Source organism: Homo sapiens, chromosome X (assembly GCF_000001405.40).
Source record: "Homo sapiens chromosome X, GRCh38.p14 Primary Assembly".
NCBI lineage: Eukaryota > Metazoa > Chordata > Mammalia > Primates > Hominidae > Homo > Homo sapiens.
In genome coordinates, this window is record NC_000023.11 from 78,275,739 (window position 1) to 78,298,789 (window position 23,051).

General features: G+C 37.8%; 1 protein-coding gene across 4 annotated transcripts in view; it reads right to left on the reverse strand.

Moving 5' to 3' along the window:
• The window catches only part of CYSLTR1 (cysteinyl leukotriene receptor 1), a 56,144-nt gene that overhangs the window by 4,271 nt on the left and 28,822 nt on the right, over positions 1–23,051 (reverse strand). For 3 of the 4 annotated variants that reach the window (NM_006639.4, NM_001282187.2, NM_001282188.2), the window contains one exon: positions 7,716–7,802. The exons of the other annotated variant lie outside the window; for it this stretch is intronic. The gene's annotated coding sequence lies outside the window, so the exon portion shown is untranslated. The remainder of the gene's footprint in view (positions 1–7,715; positions 7,803–23,051) is intronic. 4 annotated transcript variants of the gene reach the window in all.

Below are 23,051 nucleotides of genomic sequence, written 5' to 3' on the forward strand. Positions count from 1 at the left end.
TAAAAAAAGAAAATGCTTGGTTCCCTCGAGAAGAAGGCTTCCTTGGTAATATCTGTTGAGTGCCACCCATACCTATGGAAAATAATCTAATTTGCTGTTAATGAAACTCCCTCCCCTGGGGGAGAGTATTAATCTAGAACATGGTTGACTCTACCTATAACTGCAGAACTCCATGGTAAGAGAAACCTTAGAAGCCATATAGTTATTTAATGATGAGAAAAATGTTTTAGAGTGATAAAATACATTTCTAAAATCTGCACCATTATTTAAGGCTCTGAAGAAATATGTAGTACAAGTAGTTGGAATATACTTGTTTGGTGAGAAAAACGTTGTAGCCATTCATTCTTGTTCTCTTTCTAGACTTCCTAGACTTTACTGTTTAGCAATATACAGTTATTTCTCTTATAGGAAGGATTTCTCTTATAGTTGATACTTACTCTAGTCTATTTCAGCTCTGTCACTGAGGGCAGTCAATAAGTTCTGATCAGAGAAGGCTTGAGGTGAGATACTGTAGTGTAGAAGTAGTGATTTCTCTCATATTTCTCTAGATTATCCTCTTTTATTCTTTACAAAGGTTGAAGGGACTCAGTATGTAACATATCAGATAATCTTTGATTGAAGTCTGATGTTGGCCTTTTACACAACTCCTGCTCCCTTGTAAGAGACGTGTTGGGGTTTGCAAGGTGGGAAGACTGCTTGAGTATGCAAAAACTGCCAGCCATGAAGGGGACTGATCTTTACTAGGGATACAGAAACAGATAGCTATGGTAGTTGTTGCAGGTAGGATGTAACTTCCTAGGTTTACTACCGCTCACAATTATATTTGCTATTGAGGATGTAGCGTCCATCCATCTAGCCATCCCAGCTGGTTGTTCAATTTTTTCCCTTTCATTAAAAAAGTCATTATTATTATTATTATTACCAAGAACTTTTGGCATAAGATAAAAATTGGATAGATTATCTGAGCCAAGATGGCCAATTATATGCAGTCAGAAACAGCTTCTTCCACCAAAAGACCAGACTGTGAAGGAGATTGGCACACTACAAATTGATCCTTGGAAAAAAGGCATTGAAAGTGGACAGATGGAGGATGGAGACCCAAGGCTGAAAGGGGAGGAAGCTGAGAATGCTGCACAGGGGTACCAAGTACTAAGACTCATTCCTGGCCCAGAGCAGCTCCTGGGGAAGAGATGAGTGAAATAGGCATGGAGTGCCCCAAGGACATTTGGGCCATGGACATTTGGAATCTTAGCTGCAGGAGACCTCATGATCTCCACGGACATTTGAGCTAGCAGGGAGAACTTCTCAGAGAGTTGGCAGAGACAGAAATCCAGCCTTCACAGAGCCCAGAGTATTTGGCACCAGAATGACTATAGTGGAGCATGGCCACGGTTACACATACCCCAAGGATCGCCATACTCCTCTAAGTAGCTTCATCCTTTGTTGGCTGCCAGACCTGGACAGAGTAGGGCTATCTTGCTCATAGGGTAGGGGTAGTATGATCTGAGGACCCCCTTGTTTGCTGGACTCTCCCAGGGTCCCTGCCTGGCCACACCTGCTTGCAGCACAGCCTCAGCTGCCCAGCCAAAGAACTTGCTAGCAGCCACCACCATAGCTCTTTCACCAGATGACCCTGCATAACAGTCGGAGAGCTTTTGTAGATAGACTGCCACTAGCATGCAGTTGCCTGCAGCCTCTCCCCACCACTTCACCAGTACATGTGCAAAGACCCTACTGCCAACCCCCCACACCCCTGAAGTGCTTTTGCTGGCAGTCCCTATTGATGTGTTGTTGTCAGTATACTGGGAACACCTTGGTTCCTCCAGCACAGCAGGTCCTTAATCTTGAGGGACCAGTGAAAAAATTGTGGGCCTGGTCCCAGCCCACCAAGGTTAAAACACACAGCTCAGGAGGAGTGGGCTGAATCTCGGACCCCTGAAAGTATCCAGAAACAAAGTCAATTGACTAAACTTAAGTTATACCACAGTCAAACCCTCAAGGGCATCAAATAATATAAAAGCAAAAAGCCATATGCAAAGAACAGCAACATCAAACCTTAAAGGTACATCAGCCTACACAAACAAGAAAGAACCAGTGGGAGAGCTCTGACAACTCTAAAATCCAGAGTATCTTCTTATTGCCAAATGACCACACTAGCTCCCCAGGAATGACTCTTAACCAGATTGAAATAGTTGAAATGACAGACATAGAATTCAAAAATCTGTATGGCAACAAAGCTCATTGAAATTCAGGAGCAAGTTGAAACCCAATTCAAAGAAGCTCATGAATCCAATAAAATGATACAAGAGTTAAAGATAAAATAGCCCTTTTAAGAAAGAACCAAACTGATCTTCTAGAGCTGAAAAACTCTTTTCAAGAATTTCATAGTACAAATGGAAATATTAACAGCAGAATAGACCAAGGTGAGGAAAAAATCTCAGAGCTCAAAGATCAGTTCTCAGAAATAACTCAGTCAGACAAAAATAAGGAAAAACATAAAGAAAGAACAAAACCTCCAAGAAATATGGGATTATGTAAATAGACTGAACCCATGACTCATTGGCATCCCAGAAAGACAGGGAGAGAGAGCAAGCAACATGGAAAACATCAAGAACACAAGCCCATTCACAATAGCCACAACAAGAGTAAAATTCTTAGGAATACAGCTAGCAAGGGAGGTGGAAGATCTCTACAATGAGAATTACAAAACACTGCTCAAAGAAACCAGATATGATATAAACAAATAGAAATACATTTTATGCTCCTGGAGGGGAAGAATCAATATTGTTAAAATGGCCATACTGCCCATTTACAGATTTAATGCTATTCCTATGAAACTACCAACAGCACTTTTCACAGAATTAAGAAAATCACTTCTAAAATTCATATGGCACCAGAAAAGAGCCTGAACACCCAAAGCAAACTAAGCAAAAAGAACAAAGCCGGAGGCATCACACTACTTTAAACTACAGTACAAAGCTAGAGTAACCAAACAGCATAATACAGGTACAAAAACAGACACATGGACCAATGACACAGAATAGGGATTCCAGAAATAAATCTGCACACCTACAACCATCTGATATTCAACAAAGTCAACAGTAACAAGCCATGGAGAAGTGACTTCCTATTCAAAAAAATGGTGCTGAGATAACTGGCTAGTGCCATATGCAGAAGATTGAATCTGGACCCCATCCTTTCACCATCTACAAAAATAAACTCAAGATGAATGAAAGACTTAAACATAAGACCTAAAAGTAAAGAAAGCCTACGAGAAAACTTAGGAAATACCATTCTCGACATAGTACCTACCAAAGATTTCATGACGAAAACATCAAAAGCAATTGCAGCAAAGCAAAAATTAACAATTGGGATCTAATTATACTAAAGAGCTTCCACACAGCAAAAGAAGCTATCAACAGAGTAAACAGACAACCTATAGAATGGGAGAAAATATTTGCAAACTATACATCCAACAAAGGTCTAATATCCAGAATCTATAAGAAACTTAAATCAACATGCAAAAAAAAACCTGTTAAAAAAATGGGCAATGGACATGAACAGACACTTCTCAAAACAAGACATAGATGCAGCCAACAAACATACGAAAAAATGCTCAACATCACTAATCAGAGAAATGCAAGTCAAAACCACAGTGAGATACCATCTCACACCAGTAAAAATGGCTGTTATTAAAAAGTAACAAAAATAATAGATGTCGGCGAGTTTGCAAAAAGGGAACACTTATACCTTGCTGGTGGGAATGTGAGTTAGTTCAGCTACTGGAAAGCAGTTTGGAGATTTCTGAAAAAACATAAAACAGAACTACCATTTTACCCAAACAATCCCATTACTGGGTAAATACCCACAGGTGTATAAATTGTTCTTCTATAAAGACACATATACTCATGTGTTCATTGCAGCAAAATTCACAATAGCAAAAACATGGAATCAACTCAGATGCTTGTCCATGGTGGACTGATAAAGAAAACATGGTATGTATACACTATTTGATACTAGGCAGCCATAAAAAAGCATTAAATAACGTCCTTGGCTGCAACATGTATGCAGTTGGAGGCCATTATCCTAAGAAAATTAATGCAGGACCAGAAAATCAAATACTGCATGTTCTCACTTGTAAATGGGAGCTAAACATTGGGTATATATGGACATAAAGATGGGAACAGTATACATTGGAGACTACCATAGGAGGTAGGGTGGAAGGGAGAGGATTGTGGGCTGAAAAACTACCTATTGGGCACTATACTCACTACCTCAGTGATGGAACCATTTGTACCCTAATCCTCAGCATCACACAATATACCCATGTAACAAACCTGCACATGTAGCCCCTGAATCCTCCCCACCCCCCAAAATTGAAGAAGAATCATTCTGAGGCCATAGACAAAAATGTAACTCCTATTCCAAACTCCTGCATTATTTCTCAGTTTGCTTTCTAGTTACCTGGCTCATTCACCATTGGTTGTGAACTCAGGTGTAGTTGTGGAAGAAAAAAAACTGCCTAAAGTTAATCTTTTTCTTAGTTCCATGTCAAGTGTTTTTTCTAAACTGGGCAATATTATCTTGTAATGCACTAGATAGTGCTGTTGAAAATTTTGGTAATAGCCCTTTTCGGCTTTATTGAGATATAATTGACAAATAGAAATTGCGTATTCTAAGTTGTACAATGTGATGATTTCATGTGAGTATACACTGTGAAATCATTTCCCTAACAAAGTTAATCAACACATCCATTACCTCATATACCATTTGTGTGTGTGTGTGTTGGGGGGGGGGTAAGAATGCTTAAGATCTACTTTCTTTTTTTTCACTTCTATTTTAGGTTCAGGGGTACATGGGCAGGTTTGTTATATAGGTAAACTTGTGTCATGTGTTCTTTTTTATCTATACAATCATTTGTTGTACAGATTATTTCATCACCTAGGTATTAATCCTAGTACACATTACTTATTTTTTCTTATCCTCTCCCTCCTCACAGCCTCTACCCTCAGGTAGGTCCCAGTGTCTGTTGTTCTCTTCTTTGTGTCCATGTGTTATCACCATTTAATTCCCACTTATAAGTGAGAACATGTGGTATTTGGTTTTCTGTTTCTGTGTTAGTTTGCTAAGGATAATGGCCTCCAGCTCAATCCATGTTCCTGCAAAGGACATAATGTCATTCTTTTTTATGGCTGCATAGTATTTCATGGTGCATACATACTACATTTTCTTTATCCAGTCTTCTATTCAGGGACATTTAGGTTGATTGCATGTCTTTGCTATTGTGACTAGTGCTGCAGTGAACATATGCATGCACACGTCTTTATGGTAGAATGATTTATATTCCTTTGGGTATATACCCAGTAATGGAATTGCTGGGTGGAATGATAGTTCTATTTTTAGCTCTTTGAGGAATTGCCACACTACTTTCTACAATGGCTGACCTAATTTACACTCCCACCAACAGTGTATAAGTGTTTTTTTTTTCTCCACAATCTCACCAGCATCTGCTATGTTTTATTATGTTTTAATTTTTTTTTTTTTTTGAGACAGGGTCTCACTCTGTCACCTGGGCTGGAGTGCAATGGCACAATCTCGGCTCACTGCAACCTCCGCCTCCCAGGTTCAAGCTATTCTCCCACCTCAGCCTCCCGAGTAACGGATTACAGTTACAGGCGTGTGCCATCACGCCCAGCTAATTTTTGTATTTTTTTGGTAGAGACTGGGTTTCATCATGTTGGCCAGGCTGGTCTTGAACTCCTGACCTCTGGTTATCTGCCTGCCTTGGCCTCCCAAAGTGCTGGGATTACAGGTGTGAGCCACCATGCCTGGCCTGCCTTATGTTTTGATTTTTAAATAATAGCCATTCCAACTTGTGTGAGATGGTATTTCATTGTGGTTTTGAAATAAGATCTTCCATATCAAATTTCAAGTAAATAATATAATAATTTCAAGTAAATAATATAATATTAACTACAGCCACCATACTGTACATTAACTCCTCAGAACTTGTTCATATTATAGATGAGCCACACTTGAAAGGTATTAGATAATTACCAGCAGGCCTTCCTACCACTATCAACTCTCAATCTATCTTGCTACAAACCCTTTCCGGAATAATTTTTTACACATTGTAGTTTTCAATTATGACATGTCTTCCTTAAAATCTTCAGTGATTTAGAATGCCTTCAGAATAACATCTAGACTTCTTGGCCTGATATTTAAGGCTCTCTACAGTCTGGGTGCAATTTACCTTTCCAAGTTTCTCTCTCACTTCTCTCTTTTGTACACTGTATAGTTAGAAGAAACAACTATTTTAGTATGCCAGTGACATGTGCCATAAGCTTTCCCACCTGGCTTTTTTCACTGTCTTTTTTTCTTCTTGAAATGGCCTTTCCTCCTTCCTGAAATGTCCTTTCCTCCTTCTTTGCATATGCAAAAACTACTCATCATTCAGCTCAGATTACACTTTCTTGACTAAGTCTTCCCTCAGCCTCTTTCTGAAGTAATTTCTATCTTTGATGAACTTCTAGAGAAACTTAAATCTATCTTCCAAATCAATGATTTGTATATCTTATCTCCCAGACTATCTGGTTGATATATAAAAAAGCATCCCACACAGGGCCTAGCACATATGTATCTTGCCCATAAATGCTCAGTAAGTGTTGAGTGAATACTAAATTAATGATAGGACAAGTTTAACATTTGAAGGTATTATTTGTCATTTAAAACTATTTGGAGTTATCTTTTCATTCCAATATAAATTAAAATCTTTCCAATGTCAGAGTCTGAAGTTGCTGTGTAAGTAAAGTTGCTTCCTAATATATCAAGGAAACTACTAAGTCATAAGGCTAACCATAATGTTAAAAAACACAGATAATGTCAGTTGTGGTGGCACATGCTTGTAATCCTGGCTACTCAAGAGGCTGAGGCAGGAGGATTGCTTGAGCTCAGGAGTTTGAGACTAGCCTGGGCAAAACAGTGAGACCCTGTATCTAAAAAATAAAAAATCCCACCCATATCATTGATATAGACTAATCATTTGTCCATTACATGTTATAATTAAATTTGAAATTCTCAAATCTTTGAAAGATGCTAAATAAAACTGATAAATAACTATAAAAATATACAAAGAAACAGATGGTCTATAGTCTCATTAATAACTTCCCAGTCCTTGCAGACCAAAATAAACTTTTCTAAAATTTCAATATTTAGGTTCAGTTGTTTATTTATAATGAAGTCAACAATTTGTATTAAGCCATAAAAAGAAGATTGTAAAACTTTTAAGCAAGTAGTGAATCCTAGAATGGTAGAGATCATTTACTACAAGCCACTCATTTCACAGATTATGGCTTTACTTGTATGAAACAGCATTTAATTTGTTTTTTAGAATTTACCGTGATCCCCCAATAATGTTACCCTCCACTAGATGAATACAGAGAGTTTCTTTGGAAATATAAGATACTTAAGACCTCATCCCTGCCTTCAAGCAGCTCATTTTCTAGTGGGGGATAGGAATGATAGCCTAGAAGTGTGAAGAGGTTACAATACAGTATTGTAAAAGCCGTCTTAGCAGAAAACAAATGGGTTAATAAAAGCTAGCAACAAACATAAATAGAATTGATTTTATTTTCATGAGAATAATGAAGTAAGTTACTTTGTTAAGATAACTGCAAGTTGAAAAAGCAAAGTTCATTTGGAAAATTCAGGTATACCTCTTTCTGGCACTGGAGTACCTTCACAAATGTTCCTTCTTATGGTGATCAATGCCTTTTACGGTGTAATATTAGAGGAAGCCCACGCTGAAATCATAAGATTGAAAAGGCAGTTAACAACTGTAGAAGCAGTCCAGAAGGGTCATAAGAACTTAGCAGCCTTATGTATAGATCCAGAGTGTGTAATGGGGCATCAAATCTTTACTGACAGATTTAGGGCTAGTCACTGAATTCTGTGTCTCCTTCTTTTTTCTCCATCTGTTTTTACAGTCCCAGGGGGAAACTTGGAATACAGACAAGGGCTCATCACAGATGTTTGCTGCTGTGTGCATGTAGCATCTGTATCTAAAAATGAACACACTATTATAAAATATTCCTCTCTCTATGAAACCAGGGTATTTCCTCTATCTTCTCTTCTAAACACTTGGTTATAAAGTTAAGAGGGGAAGTAATTTGGAACTTTACATCCAGGGATCTGGATTGCTGGGAATAGGTGTTAGAACATTAAAAATATCAAGTATATTGTCTGGGATGGCTTAGAAATAGTTTTCCTTAAAGGACGAATGGCTTAAAGAACCTTGCACTCTTCTCCTTATAAACTATAATAGCATATAATGTTTATATCACTAATTTGGCATATATTATATACTTTTGGAGATTAACTGTTTGTAGTTAACTTTTCATAAGCATATATCTCTTCTCTTCAATTAAATTATGTTCAATAATCTAACAAAGTATAATAAATCTCCAAGAGATGAGCAGAGATGGGCTTTCTTGAAGGAGGAGCAACTTGAATGCTTTTCTTCTAAGTTTTTGTTGTCCTATGGCAACTTTAATTCCTGCCTGCAAGGCCTCCAGAGGCTAGCTACTATTCCTTTATCTGTGGTCCAAGCGCTAACAAAATAAACACTTTCCTTCAGTTTATTCTTTTTTTAAAATTTTTAAAATTTTATTTATTTTAGACAGAGTCTCACTCTGCCCAGGCTGGAGTGGCTGGAGTGCAGTGGCGTGATCTCCACTCACTCTGACCTCCGCCTCCCGGGTTCAAGCAATTCTCCTGCCTCAGCCTCCTGAGTAGCTGGGATTGCAGGCATACGCCACCACACCCAGCTAATTTTTGTATTTTTAGTAGAGATGAGGTTTCACCATGTTGGCCAGGCTGGTCTCGAACTCCCCGACCTCAGGTGATCTGCTCGCTTCAGCCTCCCAAAGTGCTGGGACTGCAGGCATGAGCCACTACACCTGGCCCCTTCGGTTTATTCTTAACCAGTAGAAACAGGCTGGAACTTTCTAAAAGAACTCTACTAAAAAAAAAAAAAAAAGAAAAAAGGAAAATAAAAGAAATGCAAAAATAAAAAATATAGTCTAGTGTTAAAAGTAGAAACCTGAACCTACAGCTGCAATATTGGAGTTCGAACCCCCCTTGTACTCAGATAATCATTTCTTAGATCTTCTCCACTTTCTTCTCCCTCTCCAAATTGTTCCTTTTTCTCTAGGTAAGAAGTTGACATATGTAACCTACTACAGTCTGGGTAAAGTTGCTGGTGTTGCTGGTGCAAAATTACTCAGAGTTGTCTTTTATATTTTGTCAATCAGGCAATAAACATATTTTTTTTAAGTTTGTTTAGCTTGTCCCGGGTCTCCGTACATCAATAAAGTTCTAGTGACTGAATGTTGAATGTATAAAAATCCTTTCTGGCTGGGTGCGGTGGCTCACGCTTGTAATCCCAGCACTTTGGGAGGCCGAGGCGGGCGGATCACGAGGTCAGGAGATAGGAACCACGGTGAAACCCCGTCTCTACTGAAAAATACAAAAAATTAGCCGGGCATGGTGGCGGGCGCCTTTAGTCCCAGCTACTCGGAGAGGCTGAGGCAGGAGAATGGCGTGAACCCGGGAGGCGGAGCTTGCAGTGAGCCGAGATCGCGCCACTTCACTCCAGCCTGGGCTACAGAGCGAGACTCCGTCTCAAAAAAAAAAAAAAAAAAAAATTCCTTTCTGATCCTGAAATTATATGATTCTACTCATCTGTGCAGAAAATTAACTTGGCTCTGTCCTGGTTTTGTGTTTAGACAAAGCTTATATTTTTCCCTAGCGTGGGACAAGAAAGAAAGTTTATGAATTTCTAAGACCCACCTATGAGAAGTTTAATATTACCAGCTTAATGCACTATCTAGTTATCCATTTCCATGGTGGCTGTGCAATTACAATTTAGTCCAATCTTTACATACACAAGCGAGTAAATGTCACATTGTCTGGGCAACCGTGTAGTATTTTTCAAGTTTGGGATTCTGAAGGGTCTTCTATGGTTCCTTTATGAATTAGCCTTGCACATAGTAGGCACTCAATATTTTCACTCCTTGCTTCTCTTTCCTTTTCAGTTCCTTGAGGACTCTTGTCTCTGACAGGAGCTCTGCCAATACTGGGCTCTACCATTGTTATCTGGGTGATAGGGAGGGTAAAGGTGAGTTAATGAAGTCAAATGTGGTTGTATGATTTTGATTTTAATTGTTTAATTCACGAACTACTCAGATCTTTTATTCGGCTCATGTTAAGTCCAATTCAGTTCAGGTTAACAAATATTTAAGAAGCCCCTATTCTTATAAGGAAGAGGATACTTTTTCTGCATCAGCCCTTAGCAGCTATTGAACCTATAACCTGGTCAAGCTCTAGTGTGCAAGGTAAATAAGAGAGCCCAGAGGTTTTCTAAGAATGTCAGGCCCCAGGTTAGTTGTGTAATCCCAGTGCTTCGGGAGGGTGAGATGGGAGGATTGCTTGAGGTCAGGAATTTGAGACAAGCATGGGCAGCACAGCAAGACCACTCTACAAAAAATAAAAAAAATGTTGCTGAATAGGATTTCATTATATAGATATACAAATTGTTTATACATTTACTCACTGATGGACATATGAGTTGCTTTCAAGTTTTGACTATTACAGATAAAGCTTCCACAAACATTTATGTACAAGTCTCTATATGGGCATGTTTTCACTTTTCTTGGGTAGCTGGATTACAAGGTAGGTGTATGTTAAACTTTTATTTTATTTTATTTTTATTATTACACTTTAAGTTTTAGGGTACATGTGCACAATGTGCAGGTTAGTTACATATGTATACATGTGCTATGCTGGTGTGCTGCACCCGTTAACTCGTCATTTAGCATTAGGTATATCTCCTAATGCTATCCCTCCCCCCTCCCCACAACAGTCCCCAGAGTGTGATGTTCCCCTTCCTGTGTCCATATGTTCTCATTGTTCAATTCCCACCTATGAGTGAGAACATGCGGTGTTTAAACTTTTAAAAAAACTGACAAACAGCTTTTTAAGGTGAGTAATGTGGGTATACTACTTGGTATCCCCTCCATAGCTCCATATGCTAACACTTGGTATGGTCAGTCTTTTAAATTATATCCATCTACTATGTGTGTTGTGATATCTCATTTTGATTTTGATTTGCGTGAATGATATTGAGCCCCTTTTCATGTGCTTATTTGCCATACATATATTTCCCTTGGTGAAATGCTTATTCAAATATTTCACACATTTTTCATTGGTTGTTTATTTTCTTATTATTGTGTATGACAGTTCTTTATATGTTCTGGACACAATACCTACATCAAATATATGCTTTGCAAATATTTGCTACTATTTTATGGGTTGCGTTTTTATTCTCCTAACAGTGTCTTGCAAACAACAGAAGTTTTCATTGTGATAACATCCAATTTATCAACTTTTCTTTTATAGATTGTGATTTTGGTGCCATATCTAAGAAATTTTTGCTTTACTCAAAGTCACGAGGAAGTACTGATACATGCTACAACATGTATCAACTCAAGAACATTTGCTAAATGGAAAAGCTATATGCAAAAGACCACATTTTGCTTATTCCATTTATCTGAAATATCCCAAAAAGACAAACTATAGAGACAGGTGATAGTTGCCTGAATCCACACGTGGGAGCAGGGAGTAATTGCAACTGGACACAAAGGATCTTCTGGGGGTGGTGAAAGTGTTCTAAAATTGCATTGTGGTGATGACTGCACAGTTCTGGAAATTTACTATAAATAATTGAATTGTACACTTACAATGGGCGAATTTTATGATGTATAAATTATACCTTTAAAACGCTGGAGTTTTTGCTAAAAATGAAATTATTGATACAGTCAACAATGTGGATGAATCTCAGAACAATTATACTGAGTGAAAGAAGCCAGACAAAAAAGAATCCATACTGTGTTATTCCATTTATATAAAATTCTAGATAAACTAGTGCATAGTGATGAAGAGCAAATCAGCAGATCCCTGGGAATAGGAACAGGGTAGGAAGGGGAGAGCCCATAACTAGAGACAGGAGGGAGAAATTACAAAGGGGATACTTTGGGGTGATGGATATATTCACTGTCTTGATTATGATGATGGTTTCATAAGTATATACATGTGTGAAAACTCATCAAATTGTGCACTTTAAATGTGTGCAGATTACTGCATGTCAGTTCTACCTCAGTACAGCTGTTTTTAAGGGACATGAATGGTAAGATAATTACAAAAAAAATTAGTTCTCTCAGAAAAAAACAAAGAACAAAAAAAAAATGATAAAATAATTAGCCATGTATGGCAGCATAGTGCCTGTAGTCCTGGCTACTCAGAAGGCTCAGGCGGGGAGAATTACTTGAGCCCGTGAGGTCAAGGCTGCAGTGAGCCATAATTGTACCAGTGCACTCCAGCCTGGTGACAGACTGAGACCTTGTCTCTTGAAAAAAAAAATAAGGTGCCAACACATATACCATACAACTATATTGTTGCTGCAATAGAATTGTATGAACAAGAATCAATTATATACTATCGTGCTAAGTGAGGTCCAGGAACAGCTAGTGATCCAAAAGTGTCTCCAGGTAGTCCCCAGACTGGTATCTTCTACTAAGTGAAATTGTAATAATACTTCTTTTTTGTTTCTAGTGAAGTAGTAAGCCATTCTTGATCCTTTTAACCCAATTTTACATTTCTCTTCTTTGAAATGCCACAGTATTTTGTCTGTACCTTTCTTGATAATTTCCATTTGTTGCTTTGTCATTAGTGTTCTCTGTGGTCATTCAATTTATGTTTTTAAATTTTTTTATTTTTCATTTCTGTGGGGACATAATAGCTGTATATATTTATAGGGTACATGAAATGTTTTGATACAGGCATGCAATGCATAATAATCACATCATGAAGAATGGGGTATCTTTCTCCTCAAGCATTTGTCCTTTGTGTTACAAACAATCCAATTTTACTCTTTTAGTTATTTAAAATGTACAAATAAATTATTATTCACTATAGTCACTCTGTTGTTCTGTCAAATACTGGGTCTTATTCATTCTCTCTAACTAATGTTTTTGTGTCCATCAACCATCCCCACCTCCTCTCACTACCCTTCCAAACCTCTGGTAACCACCTTTCAACTGTCTATATCCATGAGTTAAATTGTTTTGATTTTTAGATCCCACAAATGAGTGGGAACATGCAATGTTTCTTTTTTTTTTTTAATTATACTTTAAGTACTAGGGTACATGTGCACAACGTGCAGGTTTGTTACATAGGTATACATGTGCCATGTTGGTTCGCTGCACCCATCAACTCATCATTTACATTAGGTATTTCTCCTAATGCTATCCCTCCCCCAGCCCTCCACCCCCCGACAGGCCCTGGTGTGTGATGTTCCCCACCCTGTGTCCAAGTGTTCTCATTGTTTGGTTCCCACCTATGAGTGAGAACATGCGGTGTTTGGTTTTCTGTCCTTGTGATAGTTTGCTGAGAATGAGGGCTTCTAGCTTCATCCATGTCCCTGCAAAGGACATGAACTCATCCTTTTTTATGACTGCATAGTATTCCATGATGTATATTTGCCACATTTTCTTTATCCAGTCTATCATTGATGGACATATGGGTTGGTTCCAAGTCTTTGCTATTGTGAATATTGCCACAATAAACATATGTGTGCATGTGTCTTTATAGTAGAATGATTTATAATCTTTGGGTATATACCCAGTAATGGGATTGCTGGGTCAAATGGTATTTCTAGTTCTAGATCCTTGAGAAATCGCCACACTGTCTTCCACAATGGTTGAACTAAAGTACACTCCCACCAACAGTGTAAAAGTGTTCCTATTTCTCCACATCCTCTCCAGCATCTGTTGTTTCCTGATTTTTTAATGATCGCCATTCTAACTGGCGTGAGATGGTATCTCATTGTAGTTTTGATCTGCATTTCTCTGATGGCCAGTGATGATGAGCATTTTTTCATGTGTCTGTTGGCTGCATAAATGTCTTCTTTTGAGAAGTGTCTGTTCATATCCTTTGCCCACTTTTTGATGGGGTTGTTTATTTTTTTCTTGTAAATTTGTTTAAGTTCATTGTAGATTCTGGATATTAGCCCTTTGTCAGATGGGTAGATTGCAAAAATTTTCTCCCATTCTGTAGGTTGCCTGTTCACTCTGATGGTAGTTTCTTCTGCTGTGCAGAAGCTCTTTAGTTTAATTAGATCCCATTTGTCAATTTTGGCTTTTGTTGCCATTGCTTTTGGTGTTTCAGTCATGAAGGCTTTGCCAATCCCTTGTCCTGAATGGTATTGCCTAAGTTTTCTTCTAGGGTTTTTATGGTTTTAGGTCTTACATTTAAGTCTTTAATCCATCTTAATTACTTTTTGTATAAGGTATAAGGAAGGGATCCAGTTTCAGCTTTCTACATATGGCTAGCCAGTTTTCCCAGCACCATTTATTAAATAGGGAATCCTTTCCCCATTTCTTGTTTTTGTCAGGTTTGTCAAAAATCAGATGGTTGTAGATGGGTGGTGTTACTTCTGAGGCCTCTCTTCTGTTCCATTGGTCTGTATACCTGTTTTGGTACCAGAACCATGCTGTTTTGGTTACTGTAGCCTTATAGTATAGCTTGAAGTCAGGTAGTGTGATGCCTCCAGCTTTGTTCTTTTGGCTTAGGATTGTCTTGGCAATGCTGGCTCTTTTTTGGTTCCATATGAACTTTAAAGTAGTTTTTTTCCAATTCTGTGAAGAAAGTCATTGGTAGCTTGATGATGATGGCATTGAAATTATCTCAGGCAGTATGGCCACTTTCACAATATTGATTCTTCCTATCCATGAGCATGGAATTTTCTTCTATTGGTTTGTGTCCTCTTTTATTTCATTGAGCAGTGGTTTGTATTTCTCCTTGAAGAGGTCCTTCACATCCCTTGTAAGTTGGATTCCTAGGTATTTTATTCTCTTTGTAGCAATTGTGAATAGAAGTTCACTCATGATTTGGCTCTCTGTTTGTGTGTTATTGTTGTATAGGAATGCTTGTGATTTTTGCACATTGATTTTGCATCCTGAAACTTTGCTGAAGTTGCTTATCAGCTTAAGGAGATTTTGGGCTGAGATGATGGGATTTCCTAAATATACAATCATGTCATCTGCAAACAGGGACAATTTGACTTCCTCTTTTCCTAGTTGAATACCCTTTATTTCTTTCTCTTGCCTGATTGCCCAGGCCAGAACTTCCAACACCATGTTGAATAGGAGTGGTGAGAGAGGGCATCCTTGTCTTCAGCCAGTTTTCAAAAGGAATGCTTCCAGTTTTTGCCCATTCAGTATGATATTGGCTGTCAGTTTGTCATAAATAGCTCTTATTATTTTGAGATACATCCCATCAATACCTAATTTATTGAGAGTTTTTAGCATGAAGGGCTGTTGAATTTTGTTGAAGGCCTTTTCTCCACCTATTGAGAAAATCATATGGTTTTTATTGTTGGTTCTGTTTATGTGATGGGTTATGTTTATTGATTTGCATATGTCGAACCAGCCTTGCATCCCAGGGATGAAGCCGATTTGATCGTGGTGGATAAGCTTTTTGATGTGCTGCTGGATTTAGTTTGCCAGTATTTTATTGAGAATTTTTGCATCGATGTTTATCAGGGATATTAGTCTAAAAATCTTTTTTTCTTTTTTTTTGTCTCTCTGCCAGGCTTTGGTATCAGGATGATGCTGGCCTCATAAAATGAGTTAGGGAGGATTCCCTCTTTTTCTATTGATTGGAATAGTTTCAGAAGGAATGGTACCAGCTCCTGTTTTTGTCTCTGGTAGAATTCAGTTGTGAATCCATCTGGTCCTGGACTTTTTTTGGTTGGTAGGCTATTAATTATTGCCTCAATTTCTGCACCTGTTATTAGTCTATTTAGAGATTCAACTTCTTCCTGGTTTAGTCTTGGCAGGGTGTATGTGTCCAGGAATTTATTCATTTCTTCTAGATTTTCCAGTTTATTTGCATAGAGGTGTTTTTAGTATTGTCTGATGGTAGTTTGTATTGCTGTGGGGTCAGTGGTGATATCCCCTTTATTGTTTTTTAATTGTGTCTATTTGATTCTTCTCTCTTTTCTTCTTTATTAGTCTTGCTAGCGGTCTATCAATTTTGTTGATCTTTTCAAAAAAAAAAACAGCTCCTGGATTCATTGATTTTTTTGAAGAGTTTTTTTGTGTCTCTATCTCCTTTAGTTCTGCTCTGATCTTAGTTATTTCTTGCCTTCTGCTAGCTTTGAATTTGTTTGCTGTTGCTTCTCCAGTTCTTTAAATTGTGATGTTAGGGTGCCAATTTTAGATCTTTCCTGCTTTCCTTTGTGAACATTTAGTGCTATAAATTTTCCTCTACAAACTGCTTTAAATGTGTCCCAGAGATTCTGGTACGTTGTGTCTTTGTTTTCATTGGTTTCAAAGAACATCTTTATCTCTGCCTTCATTTCTTTATGTACCCAGTAGTCATTTAGGAGCAGGTTGTTCAGTTTCCATGTAGTTGAGCAGTTTTGAGTGAGTTTCTTAATCCTGAGTTCTAATTTGATTGCACTGTTGTCTGAGAGACAACTTGTTGTGATTTCTGTTCTTTTACATTTGCTAAGGAGTGCTTTACTTCCAATTATGCAGTCAATTTTAGAATAAGTGCGATGTGGTGCTGAGAAGAATGTGTATTCTGTGGATTTGGGTGGAGAGTTCTGTAGATGTCTATTAGGTTTGCTTGATGCATAGCTGAGTTCAAGTCCTGGATATCCTTGTTAACATTCTGTCTCATTGATCTGTCTAATATTGACAGTGGGGTGTTAAAGACTCCCATTATTATTGTGTGGCAGTCTAAGTCTCTTTGTAGGTCTCTAAGGACTTGCTTTATGAATCTGGCTGCTCTTGTATTGGAGGCATATATATTTAGGATAGTTAGCGCTTCTTGTTGAATTGATCCCTTTACCATTATGTAATGGCCTTCTTTGTTTCTTTTGATCTTTGTTGGTTTAAAGTCTGTTTTATCAGAAACTAGGATTGCAACCCCTGCTGTTTTTTTTTTTTTTGCTTTCCCTTTGCTTGCTAAGTATTCCTCCATCCCTTTATTTTGAGCCTATGTGTGTCTTTGCACGTGAGATGGGTCTCCTGAATACAGCATACTGATGGGTCTTGACTGTTTATCCAATTTGCCAGTCTGTGTCCTTTTATTGAGGGCATTTGGACCATTTACATTTAAGGTTAATATTGTTATGTGTGAATTTGATCCTGCCATTATGATGTTAGCTGGTTATTTTGGCCATTACTTGATGCAGTTTCTTTAGAGCATCAACAGTCTTTACAATTTGGCATGTTTTTGCAGTGGCTGGTACTGGTTGTTCCTTTCCATGTTTAGTGCTTCCTTCAGGAGCTCTTTTAGGGCAGGCCTGGTGGTGACAAAATCTCTCAGCATTTGCTTGTCTGTAAAGGATTTTATTTCTCCTTTACTTATGAAGCTTAGTTTGGCTGGATGTGAAATTCTGGGTTGAAAATTCTTTTCTTTAAGAATGTTGAATATTGGCCCCCACTCTCTTCTGGCTTGTAAAGTTTCTGCTGAGAGATCCGCTGTTAGTCTCATGGGCTTCCCTTTTTGGGTCACCCGACCTTTCTCTCTGGCTGCCCTTTACATTTTTTCCTTCATTTCAACTTTGGTGAATCTGACAATTATGTATCCTGGAGTTGCTCTTCTTGAGGAGTATCTTTTTGGCATTCTCTGTATTTCCTGAATTTGAATGTTGGCCTGCCTTGCTAGGTTGGGGAAGTTCTCTTGGATAATACCCCGAAGAGTGTTTTCCAACTTGGTTCCATTCTCCCCGTCATGTTCAGGTACACCAATCAGACGTAGATTTGGCCTTTCCACATAGTCCCATATTTCTTGGAGGCTTTATTCATTTCTTTTTACCCTTTTTTTCTCTAAACTTCTCTTCTTGCTTCATTTCATTCATTTGATCTTCAATCACTGACAACCTTTCTTCCAGTTGATTGAATCAGCTACTGATGCTTGTGCATGCATCATGTAGTTCATGTGCCATGGTTTTCAGCTCCTTCAGGTCATTTAAGGTCTTCTCTATGCTCTTTTTTCTAGTTAGCCATTCGTCCAATCTTTTTTCAAGGTTTTTAGCTTCTTTGTGATTGGTTCAAACATCCTCCTTTAGCTCGGAGAAGTTTGTTATTATTGATCTTCTGAAGCCTTCTTCTCTCAACTTGTCAAAGTCATTCTCTGTCCAACTTTGTTCCATTGCTGGTGAGGAGCTGCGTTCCTTTGGAGGAGAGGAGGCGCTCTGATTTTTAGAATTTTCAGCTTTTCTGCTCTGGTTTCTCCCCATCTTTGTGGTTTTATCTGACTTTGGTCTTTGATGATGATGACGTACAGATGTGGTTTTGGTGTGGCTGTCCTTTCTGTTTGTTAGTTTTCCTTCTAACAGTCAGGACCATCAGCTGCAGGTCTGCTGGAGTTTGCTGGAGTTCCACTCCAGACGCTGTTTGCCTGGGTATCACCAGTGGAAGCTGCAGAACAGCAAATATTGCAGAACAGCAAATATTGCTGCCTGATCCTTCCTCTGAAAGCTTCATCCCAGAGGGGCACTCACCTGTATGAGGTGTCTGTCGGCCCCTACTGGGAGGTGACTCCCTGTTAGTCTACACGGGGTTCAGGGACCCACTTGAGGAGGCAGTCTGTCCATTCTCAGAGCTCAAACACCATGCTGGGAGAACCCCTGCTTTCTTTGGAGCTGTCAGACAGGGACATTTATGTCTGCAGAAGTTGTCTGCTGCCTTTTGTTCAGCTACACCCTGCCCACAGAGGTGGAGTCTATAGAGGCAGTAGGCCTTGCTGAGCTGCAGTGGGATCTGCCCAGTTCGAGCTTCCCAGCTGCTTTGTTTACCTACTCATGCCTCAGCAATGGTGGATGCCCCTCCACCCAGCAGGCTGAAGCCTCACAGGTTGATCTCAGGCTGCTGTGCTGATAGTGAGCAAGGCTCTGTGTGCGTGTGACCTGCCGAGCTAGGCACATGAGAGAATCTCCTGGTCCGCCAGTTGCTAAGACTATGGGAAAAGCACAGTATTTGGGTGGGAGTGTACTGATTTTCCAGGTACAGTCTGTCACAGCTTCCCTTGGCTAGGAATGGGAAATCCCATGACCCCTTGCACTTCCCAGGTGAGGTGACAACCCGCCCCACTTCGGCTTGCCCTCCATGGGCTGCACCCACTGTCCAACAAGTCCCAATGAGATGAAACAGGTACTTCAGTTGGAAATGCTGAAATCACCCATCTTCTTCATTGATCATGCTGGGAGCTGCAGACCAGAGCTGTTCCTATTTGGCCATCTTGGAATGGAACCAATGTTTATCTTTCTGTGCCTGGCTTATTTCACTTAAATAATGATCTTCTGTTCCATCCATGTTGTTGCAAATGACAGTATTAAAGTCATTATTTTATGCCTGAATAGTACTCCATTGTGTATATGTACCGTCTTTTTCTTTATCCATTCAGCTGTTGATGGACCTTTAGGTTGTTCCCAGATATTGGCTATTGTGATAGTGCTGCCACAAACAGAAGTGCGGATATCTCTTTGATATCCTGATTTCCTTTTTTTTTTTTTTTTTGCGGGGGTGGGGTATATATCCAGCAGTGGGAGTGCCAGATCATATGGGAATTCTATTTTTGGTTTTTTGAGGAACCTCCAAACTGTTCTCCATAGTGGTTGTACTAATTTACATTCTTATCAACAGTATATAAGACATTCCTTTTCTTCACATTCTCACCAGCATTTGTTACTGCCTGTCTTTTGTATATAAACAATTTTGACTTGGGTGAGATGATACCTCATTGCAGTTTTGATTTGTATTTCTCTGATGATAAATGATGTTGAATGCCTTTTCATATGCCTATTTAACATTTGTATGTCTTCTTTCGAGAAATGTCTTTTCAAATCTTTTGCCCATTTTTTGATTAAATTATTAGATTTCTTTTCCTATACAATTGTTTGAACTCCTTATATATTATGGTTATAAATCTCTTGTCATATGGGTAGTTTGCAAATATTTTCTCCCAATCTGTGGGTTTTCTGTTCACTTTGTTGATTGTTTCCTTTGCTATGTAGAAGATTTTTAACTTGATAGTATCCCATTTGTCCATTTTTTGCTCTGGTTGCCTGTGCTTGTAGGGTATTACTCAATATTTTTTTTGCCCAGAACAATGTCCTGGAGCATTTCCCCAATGTTTTCTTGTAGTAGTTTCAAGCTTGAGGCCTTAGATTTAAGTCTTTAATCCATTTTGATTTGATTTTTGTATATGGTAAGAGATGGGGGTCACATTTTATTCTCCTGCCTATGGATATTTATTTTTACCAGCACCATTTGTTGAAGAGTGTGTCTTTTCCCCAGTGTATGTTCTTGGCAACTTTGTTGAAAATGAGTTCACTATAGGTGAGTGATTGTGTTTCTGGGTTCTCTATTCTGTTCCGTTGGTCTGCCTGTCTGTTTTTATGCCAGTTCCATGCTGTTTTGGTTACTATGGTTTAATAGTATAATTTCAAGTTAGGTAATGTGATTCCTCCAGTTTTCTTATTTTGCTTAGGACAGCTTTGGCTATTCTGGGTCTGTTGTGTTTCCATATAAATTTTAGCATTGTTTTTTCTATTTCTGTGAAGAATGTCATTGATATTTTGATAGAAATTGCATTGAATCTATAGACTGCTTTGGGTAGTATGGACATTTAAAAAATATTGATTATTCCAAAATATGAAAACGAAATATCTTTCTATTTTTTGGTATCCTCTTCAATTTCTTTCACCAGTATCTTATAGTTTTCTTATAGAAATCTTTCACTTCTTTGGTTAATTCCTAGGTATTTAATTTTATTTGTGGCTCTTGTAATAGGATTACTTTTAAAATTTCTTTTTCACATTGTTCACTGTTGGCTTATAGAAATGCTACTGATTTTTGTATGTTGATTTTGTATCCTGCAACTTTATGGAATTTATTTTTCAGTTCTAATGATTTTTTTGTGGAATCTTTAGGTTTTTCCAAATATAAGATTATATCATCTGCAAACAAGGATAAGTTGACTTATTCCTTTTTAACTTGGATGTTCTTTATTTCTTTTTCTTTTCTGATTGCTCTAGCTAGGATTTCCAGTACTATGTTGAATAATTGTGGTGGAAGTGGGCATCCTTGTTTTGTTCCAGATCTTAGAGGAAAGACTTTTAGTTTTTCCTCATTCAGTAAAATTCTAGCTGTGAGTCTGTTGTAATAGGGCTTTTATTACTTGAGGCATGTTTCTTTTATACTTAGTTTTTTGAGAGTTTTGATCATGAAGGGATGCTGAATTCTACCAAAATATTTTTCAGCATAAAATTAAAATGATTATATGTTTTCTGTCTTTTATTCTCTTTATATGATGTAGCACATTGATTGATTTGTACATGTTGAACCATGAATTCCAGGGATAAATCCCACTTGGTCAAGATGAATGATCTTTGTAATGTATTGTCAAATTTGGTTTGCTAGTATTTTATTGATGATTTTTGCATCAATACTCATCAGAGATATTGGCTTTTAGTTTTCTTTTTTGATGTATGTTTGTTTGGTTTTGGTATCAAGGTAATACTGGCCTCTTAGGATAAATTTGGAAGTGTTCCCTCCTCCTCTATTTTTTGAAATAGTTTGAAGATTGGTATGAGTTCTTTAAATGTTTGGTAGAATTCATCAGTAATGCCATCAGGTCTCAGGCTTTTCTTTACTGGTAAACTTTTTATTATAACTTCAAACTTGTTATTTGTTATTGATCTGTTCAGGTTTTGGGTTTCTTTCTGGTTCAATCTTGGTAGGTTGCACGTGTCTAGCAATTTGTCCATTACTTTTGGATTTTCCAATTTCATGACATATACTTGCTTATAGTAGCCATTAATAATCCTTTGAATTTCTGCAGTATCAGTTGTAATGTCTCCTTTTTCATTTGTGATTTTATTTATTTGGATCTCTCTCTTTTCTTAGTCTAGCTCAAGGATTGTTAATTTTGCTTAACTTTTCAAAAAACTGATTTTTTGTTTCATTGATCTTTCATACTGTTTTTTCACTTCAATTTCATTTATTTCTTATCTGATCTTTATTATTCTTTTTCTTCCACTAATTTGGGTTTGCTTTGCTCTTGCTTTTCTAGTTGTTTAAGATGCATTTTTAGATTGCTCATTTGAAGTTTTCTGTTTTTTATAATGTAGGTGCTGGCAGCTATAAACCTCCCTCTTAGTATCACTTTCGCTATATCCCATAGGTTTTGGTATGTTGTGTTTCCATTATCGTTTGTTTCAAAAATTTTTTCAATTTCCTTCTTAATTGTTTCCTTGACAAACTGGTCACTCAGGAGCTTATTGTTTAATTTCCATGTATTTGTATAGTTTCCAAAATTCCTCCTGTTATTAATGTCCAGTTTTATTCCATTGTGGACAGAGAAGATTCTTGATATTATTTCAATTTTTTGAATGTTTTAAGACTTGTTTTGTGACCTAACATATGGTTTATCCTTGAGAATAATCTAAGTACTGAGGAAAAGAATGTGTATTCTGCAGCTCTTGGATGAAATATTCTGTGAATATCTGTTAGATTCTTTTAGTGTGTAGTGCAGATTAAGTCTGATTTTCTTTGTTGATCTTCTGTTTGGAACATCTGTCCAATGCTGAAAGTGGGGTGTTGAAGTCTCCAATAATTATTGTACTGGGGCCTATGTCTCTCTTTATCTCTAATGATATTTCCTTTATATATCTGGATGCTCCCTTGTTGGATGCATATATATATTTAAAATTGTTGTATCCTCTTGCTGAATTGACCCATTTAAGATAATTTAGTGACTTTGTTTGTCTTTTATATTTTTGGGTTGAAATCTATTTTGTCTGTTGTAAGTATAGTGACTCCTGCTCTTTTTGGTTTTTTATTGGCATGGAATGTCTTTTTTCCATACTTTTATTTTCTGTCTATGTGTGCCTTTATAAGTGAAGTGTATTTCTTGTA